At 42.9% G+C, this 24,881-nt stretch overlaps 1 protein-coding gene and 1 long non-coding RNA gene across 5 annotated transcripts in view, besides 2 other annotated features; one reads left to right on the forward strand and one right to left on the reverse strand.

Annotated features, from left to right (window-relative positions):
• The first annotated feature begins 464 nt into the window (after window positions 1-464).
• The window catches only part of LOC107986930 (uncharacterized), a 139,865-nt gene continuing 115,448 nt past the window's right edge, over window positions 465-24,881 (forward strand). Inside the window, exons 1-4 of one of the 2 annotated variants that reach the window (XR_001745841.2) lie at window positions 465-782; window positions 1,405-1,570; window positions 2,892-2,989; window positions 6,030-8,304. This is a non-coding gene — a long non-coding RNA (uncharacterized LOC107986930). Of the gene's footprint in view, window positions 1,571-2,891; window positions 2,990-6,029; window positions 8,305-24,881 lie in introns of those variants that run through there. The other variant, XR_001745842.2, reaches the window with a different exon arrangement.
• On the reverse strand, window positions 16,080-20,325 carry NKX3-1 (NK3 homeobox 1). Of its 3 annotated transcripts, NM_001256339.1 has the most exons (3): window positions 20,244-20,276; window positions 19,991-20,018; window positions 16,080-19,026 (listed from the first exon to the last, which is right to left on the reverse strand). In NM_001256339.1, exons 1-3 carry the CDS (start codon window positions 20,274-20,276, stop codon window positions 18,608-18,610), a joined length of 480 nt encoding a protein of 159 aa, NP_001243268.1. In that variant the 3' UTR covers window positions 16,080-18,607. The 3 variants fall into 3 exon arrangements, 2 of the variants coding, with proteins under 2 accessions (NP_001243268.1, NP_006158.2); NR_046072.2 differs by lacking the exons at window positions 19,991-20,018; window positions 20,244-20,276 and adding an exon at window positions 20,291-20,325 and having other exon boundaries at window positions 16,084-18,529; NM_006167.4 differs by having other exon boundaries at window positions 16,084-19,026; window positions 19,991-20,325.
• Window positions 19,907-19,956: a silencer, noted in NCBI's record as "silent region_19029". NCBI's record gives its function as "represses an Ori minimal core promoter by ATAC-STARR-seq in GM12878 lymphoblastoid cells {active_cell/tissue: GM12878}" and the evidence as "EXISTENCE:reporter gene assay evidence [ECO:0000049][PMID:35858748]".
• Window positions 19,997-20,506: a silencer, noted in NCBI's record as "silent region_19030". NCBI's record gives its function as "represses an Ori minimal core promoter by ATAC-STARR-seq in GM12878 lymphoblastoid cells {active_cell/tissue: GM12878}" and the evidence as "EXISTENCE:reporter gene assay evidence [ECO:0000049][PMID:35858748]".

Raw genomic sequence — 24,881 nt, forward strand, 5'->3', positions numbered from 1 at the left:
GGCTTGATTTCCTTTCTCCAATCCTTGGGGGCCCGTGAGGACTCTTCAGATAGTGTATGTACCAAAGTCTTGCTAGAATCTCCTGTTTTGACTGGTTAGCTCAGCTGGTTGAAAGTGGGCATTAACAAAAGCTGAAGTGTGGGTCCTCTTCCTTTGTGGGCACGTGAGCTTTTTTCTATTTCACGGCCATGGGCTGCATCTCTGGCTCCAATCAGGTAAAATGTCCTGGGTGAATTAATGCAGATTAAATGCCTTGCCTAGGATACAACTTGGTAGGTATTTAATCTGTGTTTGCCCAATGAGTGAATGCAAATCATTCAGAGAATCACAGAATGACAATAAAAAATGTTTTTAGAGACCATCTGCTGCATCCCTTTACAATATTATTTGTCAGAGAAAAACAATTCTGAGTCTCATTTGACTATTTACAGTTACTATGTAATTTTTCTCAATTGGAAGGACAGAATTGCATTTTATTTATGCAATCCTTTATGTCCTCTCCAGCACCCAGGGCCTTGCCTGGCAATTAGCTGAAACTCAGATGGCAGTGCCCAGCGACCCTCAGCTCTGACAATGGCCCTGCCCAGATGGGCTCCCTGTCCAAACACCACATTTGGTATAAAGGCTATCACAATTGCAGAGTATTGAGTACAGAAACCTGTAATCTAGGGAAGAATTCAGCCAGAGCAGTTCCTCCTACACCGGGAACAGAGCCTACAGCAAGCAGTGTGGAGACCTTGGTGCTCCAAGAAGGCCTGGCCTCTGGGGCTGCTGCTGAGAAGGTATCTGTGGGCCTTGGGGCGGACTTGGGGCAGGTGAAGCCTACACAAGAGGAAGGACCACCCCAACTTGTTAGTGAACAGAGGGGAGAACTGAAGACAAACCTCCCTGCCTTTGCTTAGGCCCAGGACTGAAGAAAATTAATCGATGTGTAGTTGAATGCCACCACTTTACAAGATATGGGAGGAGAAGGCCATGTGACTTGATAGGAAAATCGACTTCGTAGAGCCACACAAATTAACCAAAGACTTTCTCCAGGGAAAGATCTTTGGGCTGCCGTAATGAATCACGTTCGACTCTAAATTGCAGAGGAGTGGTCTTTGGGATGCATATAGGAAATTATTTTGTAAAGAGACAGAATCCAGGGTTAGAATCTGAGAGGTGCAGCAGGAGTCAGAGTGGAGACTTGGTGGCTCTAAGGTAGCACAGAAGGAGTCATTATGTGATGGAAGGGCAGTGCCCACTCTCATAAACCTGGGCTGGAAGTGTGGGTCTCTGTTGAGCAGGTGTACTGCTCACAAAGCCCCCCAGGGGCGTGTGGCCTTGTGCCACTCTCCTTTGTGTAGCTCTTTAAGGAATTCCAGTGGCTAGGATATTTTTTTTTTAACTTTGGTTTTTTGGAAGTATTTGTGGGTTTCCGGAGAGGATGCCTGTCCTTCCATGTTGGTGCAATAGAGAGGCATGAGTGTGACTCCCAAAGCAGCTGGATGGAGCCGTGGTAGAGGCTCCCCAGCTCCGGATTTGAGAAGACCCAGCAGGGCTGGGAGAAGTGCTGCACAGGAGGCTGAGGGTAAGTCTCGCTTCTGTTCTCTGGAGGCGTTGGCCACACTAGCCTTCCAGCTCTTGCTCACAGACTTCTCTCCACTGTAAATGTTCTCCTTCCATCTTTCCACTGATCTTAGTCTTTCCAGCCTTCAGAGTTCAGCTCAAATCCCCATGCTACCATAAAAACTGGCTGGCCCTCCAGAGAAGACAGCTTCTGTCTCTGTAACTCCTTTAAGCTGTAATACACTAACTTTGTCATCAGAGAGGCTGAATTCAAATCCTGGCTCTGCCATTTGTCATCCATATGACTTGGCAAATTACTTAACCTCTTTGAGCCTCAGCTTCCTTATCTGTAAAACAGAGATAATTATAATGACAATAATCCTAGCACCTCTTCTGGAGGCTATTGTGAGCATTAAATAAGATAATACACGTGAGGTATTAGTAAACACATGGTAAGCATTTAATAAATGTTACTTGTTATTAGCAGTTATTTGACACTCAGATCAGACAGCCTTATATTACTAACATTTTCACATATGATGTTCTCTCTTTTTGTGCAGGGTATAATTTCCTTGATGCCATATACATTGTCGTTTTCCTGTTCAATAAATATTTGTTGTGTGTCATACTGTATATTTTTATTGTATTTAGTTATGCATTTTATTTGATAGATAATGATGTATAAATTATTATATTTGTGAGGTACAGTGTGATGTTTTGCTATATGTTTGCATTGTAGAATAATTAAATCAAGGTAATTAACAAATCCATCACTTACATACTTTTTTTTTTTTTTGAGAAGAAGTCTTGCTCTGTCACGCAGGCTAGGGTACAGTGGTGTGATCTCGGCTCACTGCAACCTCCACCTCCCAGGTTCAAGTGATTCTCCTGCCTCAGCCTCCCAAGTAGCTGGGACTACAGGCACACACCACTACACCAGGCTAATTTTTGTATTCTTAGTAGAGATGGTGTTTCACTATGTTGGACAGGCTGGTCTCGAACTCCTGACCTCAAGTGATCTGCCCACTTCGGCCTCCCAAAGTGCTGGGATTACAGGCATGAGCCATTGCGCCCAGCCTACTCATATACTTGCTTTTTTTTTTTTTTAATGGTGAATATACCATATATTTTTAATAGACTTTAATTTTCAAAAAGTTTTAGATTTTCAGAAAAATCGCATACATAGTACAGAGAGTACTATATATGCCCCAGAGAACTCCCATCTACCCTCTCCAGTTTCCCTATTATGAACCTCTTACCTTACTAGGATGCATTTGTTACAGTTAATGAACTGATATTGATACATTATTAATAACTGACATCTACCAACATATTTTTTTCAGGTTTCATTAGTATTTACCTAATGTCATCTTCCTGTTTGAGGACCCCATCTGGGATACCACAGCACATTTGGTCATGTCTCCTGAGGCTCCTCTTGGCTGTGAGTTTCTCAGACTTTCCTTGTTCTTAATGACTTTGACAGTTTTGAGAAGTATTGGTCAGGTATATTGCAGGATGCCCTTTATTGAAATGTGTCTGATGCCTTCCCATGATTAGACTGGATTCATGGGTTTAGGAGAGGAAGGTCAGAGAGGTAAAGTGCCATTTCACCATGTTATATTTAGAGTACATGCTATCAACTGACCTTGATCACATGGATGAAGTGGTGTTTGTCACATTTCTCCACGGCAAAATTCCTCCTGTTTTCTCCCTTTCCAAGCTGCACTCTTTGGAAGGAAGTCATTATTTGCAGCCCATCTTAAGGAGTGAAGAGCAAAGTATTCCACCCTCTTCGTTGAGGATGGAATATCTACATAAATTATTTTGAATTCTTCTGCACAGGATTTTGTTTCTTCTCATTCATTCATTCAGTTATTTATTGTTACTAGAATGGGCTCATGTGTATTTATTTCATGCTTGGGGTTATAATCCATTTTTCCTTTATTTATTTTATTACTTAAATTATTTCATATTTGGCCACTGGGATTGCTTTCAGTTGGTTCCTGTGTCCCTTTGATATACCCCCATCATTTTGTGTGTGTGTATGTGTGTATGTGTTTAACACTTTCTTACTTTCTGAAACTGTAAGAGGTTCCAGGCTCATCTTGTGTATTTCCTGTAGAGATGGGGTTTCGCCATGTTGCCCAGGCTGGTCTCGAACTCCTGAGCTCAGGCGATCCGACTGCCTGGGCCTCCCAAAGTGCTGGGATTACAGGCATCAGCCACTGGACCCAGCCTACTAAGTGAGTTTTTAAAAATATATTAAGCATCCCTCTTTGTGATGCAAAGTTCTGTGGATTTTGATAAATGCACTATGTCAGGTATCCACTCTTTCAGTGTTACATAGAAGTTTCACTGCCCTGAAAGTCCCCTGTGCTCCACCTATTCATACTTCCCCCCAAATTGCGGGCAACCACTGATTATTTAAAAAAAACTATTTCTATAGTTTTGTTCTTTCCAGAATGTATAATTAGAATCAGTTAGTATATAGCATTACCGTGCTGACCTCTTTCACTTATTGATATGGATTTAAAGTTCCTCCATGTCTTTTCATAGCTTGATAGCTCATTTTTATCGTTAATACTGTTCCATTGTATGGAGGTACCACAGTTTGTTTATTCTTTTATATATTCAAGGACATTTTGGTTGCTTCCACTTTTTGGCAATTATGAATAAAGCTTCAATAGACATTCGTGTGCATGTTTTGTGTGAACATAGTTTTCAAATCAATTGGCTAGAAACCTAGGAGCACAATTGCAGGCTCATGTGGTGAGGCTATGTTTAGCATTCTAAGAAACAATTGTCTTGCAAGGTGACTCTACCATTTTTCATTTCCACAAGCAATGACTGAAAGTTCCTAATGCTCCAAATCCCCACCAGCATTTGGTATTGTCATTTTTCTAAATTTCAGCAATTCTAATAGGTATGTAGTGTTATCTCGTTGCTTTACATTGCAGTTCTCTAATTACAAATAATGTTTGGTGTCTTTTTATATGCTTATTTGCCATCTGTATATCTTTGGTGAGATGCCTGTTCAAACGTTTTGTCTATTTTAAAATAGGGTTGTTTCTTTCCTTATTGCTAAGTTTTAAGGATTCTCTGTATATTTTGGAGATGAATCCTTCATCAGATAAGTGATTGCAAATATTTTCTTTCAGTCTATGACATGTGTTTTCATTCTCTTAAATGTATCTTTCAAAGAGCACAAGTTTTTAATTTTAGTGAGATCTAACATCAGTTTTTTCTTTCATGGAAATCATTCATGGATTATTCTTTTGGTGTTGTATTTAAAAACTCATCACAAACCCAAAGTGGCATAGATTTTCTGTGTTCTCTTCTAGAAGTTTTATAGAATTGTATGTTTTATTTAGGTCTATATATAATCCACTTTGAGTTGACTTATGTGGAAAGTATTAGGTCTGTGCCTAGATTATTATTATTTTTTGTATATGGATATCTGATTGTTCCAGCCCTATTTGTTGAAAAGACTATCATTTCCTCCATTAGATTTCATTTACTGCTCTTTTGTCAAAGATCCCCTTGACTGTATTTACGTGGGTCTATTTCTAGGCTCTCTATTCTGTTCCATTGATCTATGTCTCCTTTAACTAATGACCACACTGCCTTAGTTACCGTAGCTTATAGTAAGTCTTGAGGTCAGATAGTGTCAGTCCTTCAACTTCCTTCTTCTTTTTTAGCATGTTGGGTATTCTGGGTCTTTTGCCTTCATATTGCATTTTAAGCTTCATTGATTCATCAAGGTCTAGCTTAGAGCCTTACTTAATTACAGGTTCTGAATTAATTGTCTACTGTTTGTTTACTTCTGAGTACAACTAAAGTCATTTAAGACTACTGGAAAATAAGTTACCTTAGCTTTTTCATCTGAAAATTTTTCTACAGTTATAAATTGTATATTTATATAGTACCATTATGATGAGTAATACATTATTACCATAATGGTAATAATGTATTACCATAATTTACCACTTTATGACAATAATTTATAACCATAAAATTTTCAGATGAAAAAGCTAAGGTAACTTAAAATATTTAGGCACCAGAATTCTTCTCAGGGAAAAATGCCATTGTTTGGAAAAAACATTTTGTTAAGTTACTAAGAGAAGAAGGTAAAATTTACAAAGGCGTAAGTCAAGACAACAACAAAAAAAATAGTGCCCTGCTTGAACCAAGGAGAAGATGCTCTGTGTTCCCAAGAGGGAGGATACAGAAGAGAGGAAAGGAAAGATTAAGAAAAGAGATTGGAGGAATTAGCAGATGAAATAAAGCTGAGATCCACATGCAATGAAGCAACCATTAGAAATTCCACCATATAAGACTAGGGATGCCTGATGTGGAATTTGAAAATCTTCTTGCTGCTGTGATATGACACTCGCTTTTGTCCCTAACCACCTCAACCCATCCTCAGTAAAGTCTATCACACTTATGAATGCTTTGTGTGAAAGTTTTGTTTTGTTTTTTAGGAATTCAGGAAAGAACTTGAGTTCTACTTTTGCAGTGAAGAACAGAGAACACCTGCAGAAGCTGAGAATGAAATGAGCCCACCAGGACTTAGCAACCGTCTTGCTGAGGTTTGGATTTTGACAGGGTGTGAATGGTGGTTGGAGATAAGCTTATCTGGTTTTCCAGGGGCCAGGAGACCACAGCTAGGTTAGCATCTGCATTGCACATGTTATAGTAAGGATGCCTGTTTGCTATCAAATTACTCTAACAGCATTATTTCCTTTGACTCTATTTAACAGTCATGTGAAGCAAACCCTTTCTGTAGATTGTGCAAATTTAACTCAATCTGCATTGGGCTGGACATTGTGATAAATTACTAGGGATCTACTTGAATGACACTTTACATGCAAACTTTATTTTTACATTTTAATATATTCAAACTTATATGGTTAGGAGAGGAGTGTGACAGCTTCAAAAATAGAAGAAAAATCATTAAATGTTGACTGGTAGAGCTGGAAGAGATCTCAGCAACTACTTTATAGATGAGGAAACTAAGACATAGAGAAGTGGATAACTTTCCAACATCATACAGCCTTTGAACAGTAGATTCATTGGAATAATTAAAACAGAAGGTCTTCTTTCCCTGCTAGGGGGATTTCTGCCATGAACCACTCCTCCTGTAGTACTCAAAGGTCTAACTTGGCTATGGAAAAGCCTCTATCTCAGGAATGTTTATGTCTTTGGATCCTTTCCTCTCTTTTACAAAAGAACCCTGGAGAAAATAAAAAAAAAAGGTCCACATGGTTATAAAACACTGAACTTCAGCTTTTTCTGAAGCCACCCTCTTGTCCAAATTTTGGGGACTTTACGTGGATGGGAGCAAGCAGTTTATCTGGGCTTTTTCCTACTTCCTACCTCTCCCAGGACTGGGAGAGTCAACTGAAAACCAATCAATATATGTTTCATTTTTGTTTTCTGTATAAATAGTTGTCTTATCTGAAATGACCTTTTTCCAAGAGCTAATAGCCATAAATTTTTGCAGCTGGACATGTTTAGAAATGCCTCTTAGCTATTTTTGTTGATTTATTTTCTTTGTCTGTATTTGTGCAATCCAGCTTTGGGCATAGAAGCAAGCAGCTCTGGTTTCTGGTCCTCTACCTCTAATGATTTAAATTCAGGGGACGTAGTTCTTTTTCTATAGGAATGGCCCCGTATGGGATTCCATGGAGTCATAGCTCAGCCCAGGAGTTATTATTCTATCTTGGAGACTCATGTTGAATTCTTTTTGTGGCAACTATTTCTGCATTTTCTGCATTTCTTTCTGAGTCTGCTTTGAAATGTTTTTATCTATCTATCTATCTGCCTACCTACCTACTTCCAATTTCGATGTCCAATAATATGGTGATTATATATTATAGAGTATTAACTCACTGGCATATTAAGTGACCACAATAAATGCAAATGAAAATATCATCTGCTGTGTAGCTCCATGGAACAGCACATCTGAAACATATTAAGTGACCATTCCGTATATTTAATTATAGTCTGAAAAATTTATGTAACATGTGGATAAAGTTTAGACATTTTCTCAAAAAGAAGTAAGTGAACTAGAAGTTCTTAATGGCCTAATATGTGCTGGATTTATCTCATTTAACCCTTAGAACAGTCCTGTAAATTAAGCGTCATTACCTCCATCTGAAGATGTAGAACCTGAGTCTCAATGGATCAAATAACTTGTCTAAAGTCACACAGCTAATATTAATATAAAGGTACAGCCAGAGTTCTAGGTTGGTCCAAAAGCTGGAATCTCTGCTCTTTTCATTATGCCGTGCTACGTTTAGAGAAATCTAAGCAATGATAGACTTATGTAAAGGGCTTAGAATTGTAGCATTTTGGGTTAAAAATAAAAATAAAAGTAAATATAAAAATATTTTTGTCCCCCTTCATCTTCACTGTATTAATAATTTCTGAGTTGGAGCAAAGGACACATGACTGACACAATAGAGAGAAATCATCATTCCTCTCTGTCCTTTTGCTTCTAGAACAACGTTGTTACCTCTCTGTCTCTGGATATCCATTTTCCAGGCCACAATATGTATGTTCTGAGGTCTAAAGTCAAAAGGATGCCAAGAAAATAAGGCAATCGCTTAAGCCCAGAATGTAAGACTAAGCAATAAAACAATCAGAATTATCTGACTTATAAGCAGGGCTAAACTTAGATGAAATTTAGAAATAGAAATAAAAGTTGATCTTTTTCTTCTCAAGCCTCCAGTATGCTTTCCCTTCTCTTTTATACAAATTTATTTTCTGTATCACATGGTGCTGTGTTGAAATTAAGAAAATTATTCATATTAGGAATAAATGATTCATTATGTTTAATTCATTACTTCTTCCATGAATATTCATATTTTAATTGGAAATAAATTCTTAAGGTTCAAGAATGAATCCCTCCAGGTGGAATGTCAGATATTAATCAGCAGGTATCAATCAATCAGTAAATCTTCACTATCCTTGAAATCACACAATTGGTTTCCTTATGAATCAAAGATGGACCTGCAGAGCTGATTTGATTCAATTAACCACCAGAAAAATTAATTTCTACATTTAACAAAGGAGTAGCTGAAACTCACAGAAGTTGGGTGATTTGTCTACATCTCCCAATTAGTAGGTGGCAGATGGGTTGCAACCACATACTTCTCTCTAGAGCAATAGAACCAGGGGGTTGGCAAGGATCTTAGAGTAGCACCATGCTGTTCATCCTTCTCAAGACCTCCTTACCAAATAATTATTAGTTTCAAGAAACTTCCCCAATGACACAGAACACACATCAGCCCAATATTTTTGCAGGTGTTGCTGATCTCAGTCCTATGTCACCTTGAAGATTCCACCTAGGACAACACAGAAAAAGTCTAGTCCTTCTTCTCTTCCTTGAACCTCATGCCTTCCCCACCCATAGCACCGACTTTCCTTTCTCAGGTTAAATATTCCTAGTTTCTCCTACTTTTCTTCAGGTGACATGTTTGTACTCTTGCCTCCTCCCAGTTATGCTCTTCTGAACTTGCTATTGTTTTCCTCAAAAGTATGGTGTGTAGAACTGAACCTAGTACTCCAGGCGAGGTCTGAACTCACTCATTCATTTATTCATTCATTCGATATGTATTTGATCAGTGTCAAACCTCTGTCTGATCAGGGCAGAGAAGGGAGGGGACTTAGCTGCATTTCTCGAGATGCCATACACTATTGGTTGCTGCCTAAGATCAAATTAGTTCTGGTTTTTAGGTGTTCATTGTCAACGAGTTCTCTGGAGCTTTTCCCCATGACCTCCTATGTAGTGTGCCTCGTTCTCCGCCAAGCTGCTTCTCTGTGTGCGAAGCTGGCTGTTTTTGTATGGGGGTGTGTGCCTGCACAGGATTTTATAAAACCTATTTGGGTTATAATGAGAACACCTTTCCTCAGATCCCAGTCCAGCTTTTGTTCCTTCCTGATGCCAAAGTTGACATGCCCCTAGTCTGTCTCTGTAATAAAATCTAATCTCCAGGATGTGGAGCCATCTCCCTGCTCAGGGGTCAATCAGGAGCCAACGAGAGAGGTAGTGAGCTCACATGTGTACAAAGATGCTTCTGTAGCCCATGGAAAACTACCCATCCAGTTCTTCCCCCTTGCTTTGGACTCTTCGCGGTCCCTCCTCCTTCTCCTTTGCTCCTCCCATGCAGTTGAACTGGCTCAAAGCAAAGAAAGGCAACAACCCAGTAACAGGGCACACAACTGAAGTCAGGGCATGAGAGCCATTTCTGAAGTTGGGATTCTGCAGATAGGAGGTTGCAGAATTCTGAAATCTACACTGAGGGTGTCTTTAATGTGTCTTTTCTTGCCCACGCCATTATCCTTCACTCTGTTCATTTTTTTTTAATCTAAAAAATTACTTCCACCGGAATTTCTTGATGCAGTTTGCAATTTACAGAGGGTCTTGTCTATGCATTTTACAGATAAGGAAAACTGAAAACCCAGAGAAATCCTTTGTGGGAGTCACACTGTGGACCCCGGGACCTTTGTCCTAAACTTTGATGATAAATTTACTCTGGCAATTTGTGTGTTTTGCTAAGGGAGCAACTAAAGAATAATCCACATCCTCTGTAAGTCTGTACATTCTAATTTAATCCAAAAGTCTCTCACGCTGTTATTTTCATTATGTTGGGTTTTTTCCCCCCACAGGAAGGAGATTGTGGAACATCTAAGTAGAGCTCTGCTAAAGCTAATTAAGCACCTTCTCATGTATCTTCACTCACTGCAATCCTCCGTGCCCACTCCACATAGTCACATATCATCCAAGTCTTTGCAAAGCAGGAGAACCTGCACATATTAGCCTTCCATGAGTCAGATCTTCCTTGAAGGGAAAAAAATATAAAGGATCTAAGTATAAACCAGCTCTCAGGATGGAGTGAGGGAGAGATTCCAAACTTTTCCATGATAGAATGCCATCTCCTCCCTGCCCTCAAGTTCATGTTGTGAATATTGCCTGTATTCTTCTTAGTAAAAGAACTAACTCATTGCCATCCCTCTTGTTTGCAGATGCTTTTTAGGTCAAGTTTAAGCTTTTCTGGCTTTGGGGTGGAGTTCTAAGGCCTACTCTGCATTAATCGCATGCAAATTTTACTTTAAAATGCAAGGCATATTCCTTCTCCTTGGAGCACCCTCCACAACCATCTATTGCTGAACACATAATTTAAGTCTGCTATCTACCAGGATGCAGTGGTGTGCACCTGTAGTCCCAGCAATTTGGGAGGCTAAGGTGGAAGGATCATTTGAGCTCAGGAGTTTGAGTCCAGCCTGGGTAATATAGCAAGACTGTCTCAAAAAAAAAAAAGACAAAAAGAATTTTTTAAATGTACATTACCAATTTGGCAGAAGGATGTATAAATATTATGTCAGCCTTAAGACGTGATTTAATCCTGATAGATGAGTTGTCAGGGAAGGGTGACACTAATTGACAGATGTTAGCTGGCACCTGCTATTCCCAGCGATGCACTAAGAAGGCTCTGTGGTTCTGGGTGGGTGAAAAGTCCTCGGCAGCACAGTCAAAAATGAGATTTTCTTTTCTGTCTTCCATTGAGGAAGTCAAAGAGTGTGTTGACAGTCTGGAGGGGCCTGGGTTGGAGATGGGTAATAAATGCTTCTGGATGACCAGGTTAGCAAAAGCACCCACACACTTTGGGTCCCTTAAACTTCTATTGAGGGATCAACCAGAATAAGCTGGGGTTTCCTAGATTACAAGGGGCGTTTGATGATGTCAGACATTCCAGGAAGAGGAGGCTTGGGAGAAAAGTAAGAAAGGTTGAACATTTGTTTTCTGTAAAAAGAAAAAGCAAGTCAAAAAAGAAACAAAACAAAACAAAGAAAACCCACCCCCAACTCCTCCCTTCCTGGTGGGCACCTCCAGGTGTCTCTCTCCTGTCCTGGCATCCATTTGTCTCTCACAAGATTTTATAAGGGCTGAGAGGCCGAGTAGACAAACCAGTTGAAAGGAGGATAAGGAAGTGGTTTGTAAATTTGGACACAACTAGTCTTTAAAATAAGTACTGAGGCCAGACGCCTTGGCTCACACCTGTAATCCCAGCACTTAGGGAGACCAAGAAAGGAGGATCACTTGAGACCAGGAGTTAAAGACCAACCTGGGTGACATAGTGAGACCCCTGTCCCTACCAAAAATACCAAAATTAGTCAGGTGTGGTGGTGTGCACCTGCTCTCCTAGCTACTCACCAGGCTGAGACAAGAGGATGGCTTGAGCCCAGGAGTTTAAGGCTGTATTGAGCTATGATTGTGCCACTGCACTCCAGCCTGGGTGACAGAGCAAGATCCTCTCTCAAAAAACAAACAAACAAAACCTCAAAAACCAACAACAAAAAACTGATGCCTGAGCCTTACTTCCAGAGATTACAGTACAGTTGGTGTTAAGTAGGAAGTAGGGCTGGGTCTTCGTATGTCTTCAAAGACTCCCAGGAAATTCTATTGAACAACCAATGCTGACAGCCACTGGGTAAAAGGCATCCACAGATGCAACTGCAATTGTAAGTACAGTTTGTATTTGAGACTAATTGCTGGTGGACTTTCACTGTTAAGAGGGCAAAATCAGCATTTATTCTCCCATGCAGATTTCTGGGTGATATGGTTTGGCTCTGTGTCCCCACCCAAATCTCATCTTGAGTTGCAATTCCAATGTGTCAAGGGAGGAACCTGGTGGGAGGTGATTGGATTATGGAGGTGGTTTCCCCTATGCTGTTCTCATGATAGTGAGTGAGTCTCACAAGATCTGATGGTTTTAAAAATGGGAGTTTTTCCTGTGCTCTCAGTTCACTTCCCACCTGCCGCATGTAAGACTTGCTTGCTTCCTCTTTGCCTTCCGCCATAAGTGTAAGTTTCCTGAGGCTTCCTAGCCATGCTTGCTGTTAAAACTGTGGAATTTTGAGTAGTTAAACTTCTTTCCTGTATAAATTACCCAGTCTTGGGCAGTTCTTTATAGCATTGTGAAAACGGACGAATACACTAGGCTTTAAACAAATTCTCTATGTATCCCACAGTCATTCCAATGAGAAAATAGGACTTTTCTCTGTGTATCACCCTTTTCTCTCTACCCAGTCACCTCCCCAGTATGGGCTCTCCCCATGACTGAGCTGGCTGGAAACAGGTGAAGAATGCCCAGTTAGAAGATGCCACACAATGGATCTATCCTAAATCTCTGTCCTAAATCTATCCTAAACTCCATATTGGACCCAGAGCAAGCTCAGGAAATAAGTCAAGGCTGCATCTACAGCCTTTGCATAAATTAGGGGAGAACATACCATGGAAACAGAAATTCTTTTCCTTTCCCTTGCAGACTTTAGATAACCCTTTCCACGGGGTAGTCTGTCTGGGAAAGTTTGCATGAAGGCCAAGTCTAGGCTAAACTAGGAGCTCTTCATGTCCCAGGGCTATCGGTCCTGCCCTTTTTCTTGAGCAGTAAATAACTCTCAGCTTTGAAAAGCATGCCCTGGTGACGTGTTCATCATGGCCATGGGAGGAGCAGAGTCTGGCTGTCTGGGTGCAGAACTCAGAGCTCCAAGCCTCGTCTGACACTGATTTTCTCACCGCGAAAAATGGTGGGGACCGTGGCCCTGAGAGTGACCAAGGAAAGGATCTTATGTTTTATAGTGGATCACATGGTGCTCCACTGAGTCCCCCTGTGCAGGGCTGATGTGCCCCCTCCCAGCTGCTAGGCATATTGGTGCAATGAATCGCAGCTGGGTCCCTCGATGGCCATCGCCTAACACTGACAGGACTGCATTGCCCAAGGTTATTCTCATTTTTGGGAGGCAGCTGATGCTGGGATACAAATGTCCAGCCTACGATCCTCAATTTGGTGCACAGTGGTTTTGGAGCTTCTTAAGGTATTGGGTGAGGCCTCAGTTGCAGCTGCCTTAACCCTGCCTTCCTCCACCACACCTGACTAATTCTGGTATTTTTGGTAGGGACAGGGGTCTCACTATGTCACCCAGGTTGGTCTTTAACTCCTGGTCTCAAGTGATCCTCCTTTCTTGGTCTCCCTAAATGCTGGGATTACAGGTGTGAGCCAAGGCGTCTGGCCTCAGTACTTATTTTAAAAACTAGTAGTGTCCTTCTCTTCAACCCTGCCTTCCTCACTTCCTCCCAGATGTGTCCCAAGCACCCTCTCAAGAAAGCTTCTGTGTGCAATTCCCCATTCACTGGAGCTGTTTCCCGGGCGCCTAAGCTAAGTGACTTTCTCATAATGGCCACTGTTTCCTTCAAGGTCAGCTTTAAGATGTGTGAAATTAACATCACCCTACAACAGTAATTTGCTTTGATAGAAGGAAAACATTGTTGTTAGACGCAAGTCTCTGACATTCATTTCCCCTCTGACAGCTATGGTTGGCCTTCCTAAGGAGGCTTGGGGAGAACCAATGGGACCACAGATGACAAAGCTGCAGTGGCTCTAGACACTTTCACCAGAAGTAACTTGAGAGACAAATTGAAGAGAAATTCCAGATGCCACGAACATGTGGCATGCTAACTGGGATTGCTGGTTGGCATGCTAAGGGGAGTTGCGAGAAGAAGAGGGGTGTGAGATTGGCAGAGATATTGAAAGAAAGTTGGAAAAGGGACAAAAAGAGGAGGGAGAAGAGGACTTTCTTAAGGGATGGGAGATTTTTATTTAATTTCCTGGATTAGTTACTTTTTTTTTTGAGAGGGAGTCTCCCTCTGTCGCCCAGGCTGGAGTGAGTGCAGTGGCACGATCTCGGCTCACTGAAAACTCTGCCTTTCGGGTTCACGCCATTCTCCAGCCTCAGCCTCTCGAGTAGCTGGGACTACAGGCGCCCACCACCATGCCTGGCTATTTTTTTTTTGTATTTTTAGTAGAGACAGGGTTTCACCGTGTTAAAATCTACATCTGTTAATTGACTGCAAGTGTCTTTGTAATTTGAGAGCTCATGGCCTTCCAGGGGAGGGGAGAATGGTTACAGATTTGTGCAAAGAGGTAAATCTTACGATGTGAGCATGCCAAGAAAAGCCTCACCTGTGTGTACATGTGCTTAAAGGATTAGAGCAAAGTTTGAAATTATGATATATTTTCTTTAGAGTAAGCACCTTACTCTTTAAGCTTCTATTTCCTTGAAGAAGGGAGGAAGAAACCATCAATTCTTGAAGGTAATCAGGTGCATGGGATTCTCCTCTTGTGGGATTTAATGAAGGTTTAAGTGCAGGGAGATGAAGGATGTGTTGTTTATGTTTTATTTTAACACATTAATAAAACCTATTTTTCATACTTGTGATTCCAGTTCAAAGGCGTCACTTGCAAGAGGTCTATCAGCTCTGGATGAAGGTGACATTTTTTGCGAGATGCAGGAGCCAGGGAAGTTATAGTGTGAGGGCTAGCGGAACATAAAAGGGGATTTTTTTTTTTTTTTTTTTTTTTTTTTTTTTTTTTTGAGACAGAGTCTTGCTCTGTCACCCAGGCTGGAGCACAGTGGTGTGATCTTGGCTGACTGCAACCTCCGCCTCTCGGGTTCCAGCGATTCTCCTGTCTCAGCCTCCGGAGTAGCTGGGATTACAGGTGTCTGCCACTACGCCCAGCTAATTTTTGTATTTTTAGTAGAGACAAGGTTTCACCATGTTGGCCAGGCTGGTCTCGAACTCCTGACCTCAGGTGATCTGCCCACCTTGGTCTCCCAAATGCTGGGATTACAGGCGTGAGCCACCGTGCCTGGCCAAAGGGGAACTTTTAAAGAAGGATTGCTGTAGTCTTTGTGTTCCCTTTAAGGTCTTCAAGAAATGTAAAGTAAATACTTGGTTATCTTTTTTTTTAAACAAAAGGTATTCCTTGGCTGGAGTAGGTGATTATTTAAATGTTTTTATTTTTATTTTTATAGGATCGGGGATACAAGTGCAGTTGTGTTGCATGGATCTATTGCACAGTAGTGAAGCCTGGAATTTTAGTACCCATTGCCCGAATAGTGAACACTCTACCCAGTCGTTTTTCATCCCTCACTTTCCTACCACCCTCCAACATTTTGGAGCCTCCAGTGTCTCTTATTCCACTCTGTATACCCATCGTTTAGCTCCCATTTCCAAATGAGAACATGCAGTTTCTGACTTTCTGTCTCTGAGTCATTTCACTTACGATAAGGGCTTCTAGTTCCATCCATATTGCTGCAAAAGATGTGATTTCATTATTTTTGATGGTTGCGTATGTATTCCATGGTATATATGCACATTTTAAAATCTAATCATCTGTTGATGGACACATAGGTTCAGCCCATGATGTTGCTATTGTGAATAGTGAACAGTTGATTATTAGACTGAAGAGAGAAAAGGCCTTCCTCCCCCATGACTTAACAGGAACGAAGGACGTTGCATTTATAAAAGGATGGCCATCACCAGCTACTGGGTAGGCTGAGGCTTTTGATCACCATAGGTTGCAATTGGTGTGTTAGGTGGACGAGGGCAAGAGGATATGGTAATTAGAAATATCTAAGTTACACAGCATGTAGTTTTTAGGAAACTGAAAATCACACACACATAAATCTAATAAAGACATGGGTACTTTATTTTCAAAACACTCATATGTTGCAAAAAACACATAGAAAAATAAAGTTTGGTGGGGGTGCTGACTAAACTTCAAGTCACAGACTTTTATGTGACAGATTGGAGCAGGGTTTGTTATGCATGTAGAGAACCCAAACTAATTTATTAAACAGGATAGAAACAGGCTGTCTGGGTGAAATGGTTCTGAGAACCATCCAATTCACCTGTCAGATGCTGATAGACTAGCTCTTCAGATGTTTTTCTACCAGTTCAGAGATGGGTTAATGACTAGTTCCAATGGGGAAAAAGCAAGATGGATTCACAAACCAAGTAATTTTAAACAAAGACACTTTTTTTTTTTTTTTGCAACACAATATACATCACAGTGAAATGTGTAATCCTTGCAAATTGCAAGTTGAAAGAATTAAATTCAGAGGAGGGGAGAGAAAGAGTACTCAGTAGGGACTGAGCACTAAATGCTTATTTTAAAAGAAATGTAAAGAGCAGAAAGCAATTCAGGCTACCCTGCCTTTTGTGCTGGCTAGTACTCCGGTCGGTGTCAGCAGCACGTGGCATTGAACATTGCAATGTGGAGCCCAAACCACAGAAAATGGGGTGAAATTGGCCAACTTTCTATTAACTTATGTTGGCAATTTTGCCACCAACAGTAAGCTGGCCCTTCTAATAAAAGAAAATTGAAAGGTTTCTCACTAAACGGAATTAAGTAGTGGAGTCAAGAGACTCCCAGGCCTCAGCGTACCTCATTAGTAATTGTTTTGTTGTTTCATTTTTTTCTAATGTCTCCCCTCTACCAGCTCACCTGAGATAACAGAATGAAAATGGAAGGACAGCCAGATTTCTCCTTTGCTCTCTGCTCATTCTCTCTGAAGTCTAGGTTACCCATTTTGGGGACCCATTATAGGCAATAAACACAGTTCCCAAAGCATTTGGACAGTTTCTTGTTGTGTTTTAGAATGGTTTTCCTTTTTCTTAGCCTTTTCCTGCAAAAGGCTCACTCAGTCCCTTGCTTGCTCAGTGGACTGGGCTCCCCAGGGCCTAGGCTGCCTTCTTTTCCATGTCCCACCCATGAGCCCTCCACTGGACAGCTCAGTAAGCCTGGCCCTTCATTCTGCGCTGTGTTCTTCCTCTGTGAAAATCCAATACCTCTTACCTCCTCTGCATGCAAAGATTCTCAAGGATTGTCAGACTTCAAACGTAACAGCAGAACCACCAGAAGGTCCTATAAATGCAGTAGTGACCTTCTCAAGCTGTCAGGTCTTTAAATAGGATTTGGGATTTAATGCTATGTATTTTTAAAGGAAAGAAATAAGAGTTGCTAGTTTTAAAAATGCATGTCTTTTAGCCAATTCAGAATCTGCCCCCAAACTTTTTTAAAAAGTCAAGACAGATAAAGCTTTGGGGAGACGGAAAAAAAAAAAAAAAAAAAAAAAAAAAGACCAGATCTCGGGCTAAATAAGCGAGGCATAAGTTAGGTGCAGCCAGACTAAAAATCTGGACTAAAATGAAGCCCTTTAGTGAGTAATTGCTGCAAAAAGGAACACAAAATTTTAAAAGGAGGGAAGGAAGAATTATGTTGCCTTTCAGGATACAGTATATATGATAGCCTGAAAACTCCAGGAAACTTCTGATTCTAAATTCTCCAGCCCAAGGGAAAAAAGTTGAGAAGAGGCCTTTCCACTTTCTACTAATAAAAAAATGCAACAGCCCCTAGCAGCAGTGTGGAGACCCTCCTTAGGCCCCTGTCTTGGACAAGCGGAGATTCTCCTGGCCCGGCCCCCCCTCTTGCAGTGGAGTTCTGTTTATACAGCTTGTCTTAAAATCACAGCGAGTGCATCTTGTTCTATTTGGGCCACCCTGTAAATACTTAAGTTGGCATACCATTTTAAAAGGAATAAAAAGGAATAAGAAAAGCTGATATTTTCATCTCCTCCCACCCATCTCCCCCTCCCATGCAAATATGTGCTGAGCATGAGGGCGTTCTCTTGGAGACTCTCTATTTGCCCCTCTCTTTTACAGGGACAGAGAGAGCCTTGGCCATATTCCAAGGCCAACAGGAGGCTTCTGGACTTAAGTTTAATTCAGTTGGTGACATCCTCATCCTGGTTGTCCTTTCTCCTGTTAGGTTTGCTCTTTCAGAGTTGATATTCAGTGACACAGGAGGATGGAGTTGCAGAACAGAATCCTTGGGTGTACAACTCATCCAAAATCATACAAAGTGCTGGAAAATACCACTTGATTTTCCCTCTCTCCCCTTCAAACAGGTAGCCAGAAGCAAAAAAAATGACCTACAGTATGCACTGGAGGAATGACTTAGGTATTAAAACTTTCACTGTCTCTGTTGTTTCATTGTCTCACCAGTGAAGAATCTGAGATTTCCACGCAAATCTCCAATAGCTTTGGTGTGCACACCTCTTGCTCCCTGACCTTGGCCCCTTGTGCTTTTCATAGAGACACCCTGGGGAAGGCAGTTTTTGATCATAATGGTTGTCACCTGAGCTGGCATTACCAAAAAGCTGGGCTCCAGCTGCCCACGCAGTACAGGTATGGGTAGTAAGGATAGCTGTTATACACGGAGACCAGGGAGGCCCGGGAGAAGGCCTCCTCTTTCAGGGCCGGCAAAGAGGAGTGCTTCTCCAAGTCTCCCAGCTCCGAGGAGAGCTGCTTTCGCTTAGTCTTATAGCGTCTGTTCTGGAACCATATCTTCACTTGGGTCTCCGTGAGCTTGAGGTTCTTGGCCAGGTGGGCCCGTTCAGGGGCCGACAGGTACTTCTGATGGCTGAACTTCCTCTCCAACTCGATCACCTGAGTGTGGGAGAAGGCAGCTCGGGAGCGCTTCTGCGGCTGCTTAGGGGTTTGGGGAAGCCTTGGAAGGGCGCCTGAAGTGTTTTCAGAGTCCAACAGATAAGACCCCAAGTGCCTTTCTGGAAAGGAGAGTGGGGAAGGAGGGATGGGAAGACAAAAGTTACATGTTAGCAGGGAAGAGAACAGAATTCAATCCACCCTTATCTCTTTAGTGAGTGAACAAACAGCCCACTGTCATCGTGGATACATTTCACTTTTTTCACATGACTAAGGAGCTCTCCGGAGTGAAGAGTGAGTAAATATGTTTATTACGCATTCATTTGCTAAGAATCATCAAGAACCCAAAGTTAGAGACGTTTCGTGGTTGAACTTTCTCCCTACTGTCTAGTAGAATTATATGGGGATTCTGGATCTGTGTGCTGAGGAGAGGCGGGAGAGGGAGGCAGGGAAAATGCCGTGGAACAAGATACCCGGGAAGGCCAGACCAAAAGACATCCGGTGTTAGGATCCAGGTGGGCAAGAGAGGGCTTGTGCCACTGGAGACGCAGAGGCAGGCTCATTCTGGGCTTTAATTCCCTCTTCGCTAAACGAGGCGTTCGGTCGCCTCATCAGAAGTGACAGGAAAGAAAATAAGTGGACTCTCTCTCCTGGACACCGGAGGGAACCCCGAATATACCGCTTTACTGCCCACGGGATTGGGAAGCACACGGAGGCTTTGCTGGTCAACCCCTGCTTTGTCACTGTTAATAAGTTATTATTAGTTCTCATAACTACCGGGGGGCTGGCGCCGATCGCGGGTGGCGCGGGGCGGGATCCGCTCCTGGGACGGTGGAGGGCGGTGGCGCTGCAGTCGCGCCGGCTTCTGAGCCCCAGGGAGCGGAGGGCACGGAGCCGGGCGAGTCCTGCGGTGTCAGAATCCTGCGCCGCCCTGACGCTGGGGCTCAGGGTTCATTCCGGGGGCGCGCGCGTGGCTGCGGAGGCGGGAAGGTCCCTCTGCCTGTCGCCGCGGAGCCCCGCGTCCCTGCACCCCGAGCTCTGGGGGTCCGCCTTGGGCTGCCCCCCTTCCCCGGCCTCGCCGCTTACCTGGCTCGGTCTCTGCCAGCGTCTCGGCCTCCTCCGGCGCGGCGCGGGGCCCGGTGCTCAGCTGGTCGTTCTGCGCCCCGGCGCGGCTGCGTCCTCCCTCTGGCTCTGGCTCTGGCTCCGGCTCCGGGTCGCGCTGTCTCTGGCTGCTCGTGCGGCCGCCTTGCCGCTGCGCGCCGTCCCGCAGGATGTCCTGGATGAGGAAGGACGTGAGCGGCTTGGACGGGGTCGGCGGCGCGGCCCCCTCCGCTTTCGCCTCCCCGGGCCGCGGCTCCGGAACCCTGAGCATCCCGGCGGCCCCGCCTTGGCCTGAATGCACCCGCCCGGCCCGCACCGCTTTCACTTTCCGCCTCCCGGCTCGCTTATAGCCCAGGGGAGCGGGCCGCGCCGCCCTCCCATTGGCCGCGGGACGGGCCGCGCCGCGGATTGGCCGCCCTGAGCCCCAGGTGACCCCGCCGATCTGCGAGCCCTGAGCACTGCCCCGCTCCGCTCCTCCCTAGGGGATTCCTTCCCCAGTTCCCTCTCCTTCCCCAATTCCCTCTCCTTCCCCAATTTCCTCTCCTTCTCCAGCTCTCCTCCCTCCGCCCTGAGCCGTTTTCCCAGGCCAGGAGCGCACCCCAAAGCGGGGCTCCTCTGCCCCAACCCACCCGCAACAGAGAGAAGCTCCTGGGGATGGGACGATCAAGACAAACAGTCCAGTTAGCTCTTCAGGACCGTCAGAGCCAATTACAGGGGATGAGCACGCAGTCACTGCAGCCGCGCGGTACCGTGAGAGTTCTGGGTGCTCTCTCTCTCTGGGAGAGATGGTGCAAACTCAGATCTGCAATATCTACGACCTCAAAGAGGCATGACAAGTAGGTGCAGCCAGACCCCAGGCTGAAAGAAGGAAAACACCTTTGCCAAAGCCTTTTCCCGTTGCAGAAGTGGTTTTCTTTGGTGGTTCCTTTATCCGCAATAACCTGTTAACTTTCCTTCCTCCCCAGACACATGACATACCATCCTTTTGAAAAGTTTCCAGACGGATGGAAGGCGTTTTAGGCCAGGACAAATGCAAAAACTGCATTTAAAAAAGTAGTTCAAAAGAACATCAGCATACTCTTTTTGCAGATTACCAACTGTTAACATGTAACCCATTGGCTAAACAATGGGTTAGCCAGATTGGTCCAACCGGTACTGTGACTGGACTGGACGGTACCGTGACAACAGACGAAAGTGGAACAGAGATGATGGAAGTATTTTCTTTCCTTGTCTTTTCTCTTCTTTTTTTTACGGACAGGGTCTCCCTCTGCCGCCCAGGCTGGAGTGCAGTGATGCCATCATAACTCACTGCAGCCTCGATTTCCTGGATTCAAGTGATCCTCCTGCCTTGGCCTCTCAAAGTGCCAGGACTACAGGCATGAGTCTCAGTGTCAGGTCGATGATGGAAGTATTGAATTAATGTTAAATTTACTGAAATTGCACATTGTACTGTCAGTGTACAAGAGAATATTTTTAGGAAATAAACACTGAAGTAAGTAGGAGCAAAGGCACAAGATTTATGAAACTTACATCAAATGGTTCTGAAACAAGGATGCAGATTGATAGATCCCACGCCATAAAGCCGATGGGTTAAATGGTAACAGTTGGTAATCTGGAAAAAGGGTAGGCTGATGTTTTTTAGAACCATTTTTTTAATGCAACTTTTTTGTCTGTCCTGGTCTAAGACGGCTTCTATTCAACTGGCAACTTTTCAAAAGGATGGTATGTCATGTGTCTCTGGAGGAAGGAAAGTTAATAGGTTATTGCTGATAAAGCGACCGCCAAAGAAAACTACCTGTGCAACGGGAAAGACTTTGGCAAAGCTGGTTTTCTTCTCTCATCTTTTCAAAGTCTCTTTATATTAGAACATTCTTTAATGTTTTCTTTTGAATCATTGTAGATTCACAGGAAGTTGCAAAAATAATACCTCCAGTGTCCTCCAAAGACATCTATACAACTGTAGGACAATGTAGAAAACAGGAAATTTACGTTGGGACATTACAGTTAACTAGACTACAGACGTCATTTATTTATTTATTTAGAGATAGGGTCTTGCTCTGTTGCCCAGGCTGGAGTGCAGTGGAGAGATCATGGCTCACTGCAACTTCAACCTCCTGGGCTCAGGAGATTCTCCCACCTCAGCCTCCTGAATAGCTGGGACTACAGGTGTGTGCCACCCTGCCCAGTTAATTTTTGTAGTTTTTGTAAAGATAAGGTTTCACCCTGTTGCCCAGGCTGGTCTCAAAGCCCTGGGCTCAAACAATCCTTCCGCCTCCACCACCCAAAGTGCTGAGACTACAGGTGTGAGCCACTGTGCTGGGCCTTATTGTGGTTTAAATTTTTAATTTGCATTTCACAAATGCCTAGAGATGTTGAATACCTTGTCATGTGCTTGTTTGCCATCCATATTTCCTCTTTGGTGAAATATCTGTTCAAGCCTTTTGCTCATATTATAATTGAATTTTTCTTTCTTTTATTTTTTAACCATTGAGTTATGATAGTTCTTTATATATTGCTGTTTGTAAGTCTTTGTTTGGTAGGTTATTTGCAAATATTATCTCCCAGTCTGTAGCTTGTGTTTCCATCCCTCTAACAGGATCTTCAACAGAACAAAAGATTTTAATTTCATTGAAGATCAATTTATGAATTTTTGAATTTTACAGAATGTGATTTTGATGTCCTGCCTAAGAACTCTTTGTTTAGTCCTAATACTGAAGATTTGCTCCTATGTTATCTTCTAAAAGTTTTATGCTTTACTCTTCAATCCATGATTCCTTCAGAATTAATTTTTGTATATAGTGTGAGGTTTAGATTGAGATGGCCTCCTTTTATTTCTAAAATTGAGAGTTGGGTATGAATTATTTAATAACAAGTGCTGCCATTTGGAAAAGATAAAGTCCTATTCTTATGACAAAATAAATTCCAGACAGCTCAAAGATGTAAAACACAAACGAGCACGTGAAAAAAATATTTTAACTACACTTCATCAGTGAAGGAATGCAAATCAAAATCACATTGAGACGAGCCTTTTCCACCTTTCAGATTGACAAAGGTTAAAAAAAATGGATAATGTCCAGTGTAAGTGAGAGTGTGGAGGAACAGCTGCTCTCATACAGCCATGCACTGCATCGTGACGTTTGATCAGTGACAGACAGCATATATGACGGTGGTTCCATAAGGTTATGATACTGTATTTTTACTGTACCTTTTTATGTTTAGATATGTTTACATGCACAAATTCTTACCATTGTATTACCTTTGCTTACAGTATTCAGTACAGTAACATGCTGTACATGTCTGTAGCCTAGGAGCAATAGGGCATACCATGTAGCCTAGGTGTGTAGTAGACTACATCCATCTAAGTTTGTGTAAGTAGCTCTATGATGTTTGCACAGCAATGAAATTGCCTAACATTGCATCTCTCAGAACATATTCTTGTCCCTAAGGATGCATGACTGTTTTTGGATGACAACTTGGGAATATTTGTCAAAATTAAAACTGAGCATATCCTTTGACACAGCTATTCTGTGTTTGGCAATGTGCCCTAGAAGTGCACAAATACACAATGTATTGACTTGGGAACATATCTTCAATTTGGTCAGAGACTGGTTCAAGCTGCAAAGCATGTTATAGATGAAACCCATTGTATAAAACAGCACTATAAGTTACCTATATAATGTTTTTCATTTGAACACTTTAACATACAGAATATATCAGGAACAAGATTTATACATATGTATTCTTTTTTTCCATAGAGTAGTTACCTCTGCTCAGTGAGATGGAGACAGTAGGTTGGGAGAGGGACAGGAGGATAGTGGAACAGGGTGTATTTCCTTGTACTCATTGATAATTTTAAAAAATGAAAAATATCAAGTTGGAGCTGAGCCTGGACTGCCCTCCTCCACCGCGTCCTCCTCAGGCCTGTGAGTGGGGCCACAGCTCGTGGTCCTCGGCCTCACCTCACTGCATCTTTTCTCCCCTTGTGCTTTGTATTTGGGGGTGTGGATGGCTCATCTTCTTTATGAGACTATGAGCTCCCTGAGAAGGGACTGTATCCTCCTCATATTTGTACCATCTCTAAAGTCTGGCTTAGTTCTCGGCATACAGAAGGCGCTCCATAAGTGCTTGCTGGCTCAATGTCCAGCTCCAGTTGTTATGACACATCTCACTGGCTAGCGGAATTATCCATAAGGGGCCAAAGGACCCCCAGGCAAATCACAGTGGAAGGCTCGTCCTCCTCCCCTTGCTGTGTTTATGCAGTTTAAACCGGGTGAAAATGTGCAAGGCAATCTGGAGACACTCAGGGGCTGCAGCCCAGAACAATGCCCCCTTCCAGCGATGACCAACCCCTAGTCCCCAGATTCTGTGAATATGCTATGTAAATAGACAGCGAAAGTTAATGCTGCAGATGGAATTAGGTTTGCTGGTCCGCTGATCCTGAGATGGGAAGGTTATTCTGGATTATCCAAATGGGCCTGTTGTGTCACAGGGGTCTTTATCAGTACAAGTATGAGGCCAGAGAATCAGAGTCAGACAAGATATGACAACTGAAGCAAGGCTAGAAAGAGTCAACTGTGGGAAAGACTCAACTGGCCCTTGCTGGCTTTGAGGGTGCAAGGAGGCCAGGAGCCAACTGATGCAGGCAGCAGGGAAAGAAAAGAAGTGGATTCTCTCCTAGAGCCACCAGAAGGAACACAACCCTGATGACACCTTGATATTAGCCCAATAAGCCAGTGTGGGCTTCTGATCTCCAGAACCATAGCATAATAAATGTGCATTGTTTTAAGCCACTAACTTTATGGTAATTTGCCACAGCAGCACTAAGAAACTAATATAGGGGCACTAGTAAAAGAGCAGCAGTGATGAAGGAGGCCCT

This window comes from Homo sapiens, chromosome 8, assembly GCF_000001405.40.
Source record: "Homo sapiens chromosome 8, GRCh38.p14 Primary Assembly".
Lineage (NCBI taxonomy): Eukaryota > Metazoa > Chordata > Mammalia > Primates > Hominidae > Homo > Homo sapiens.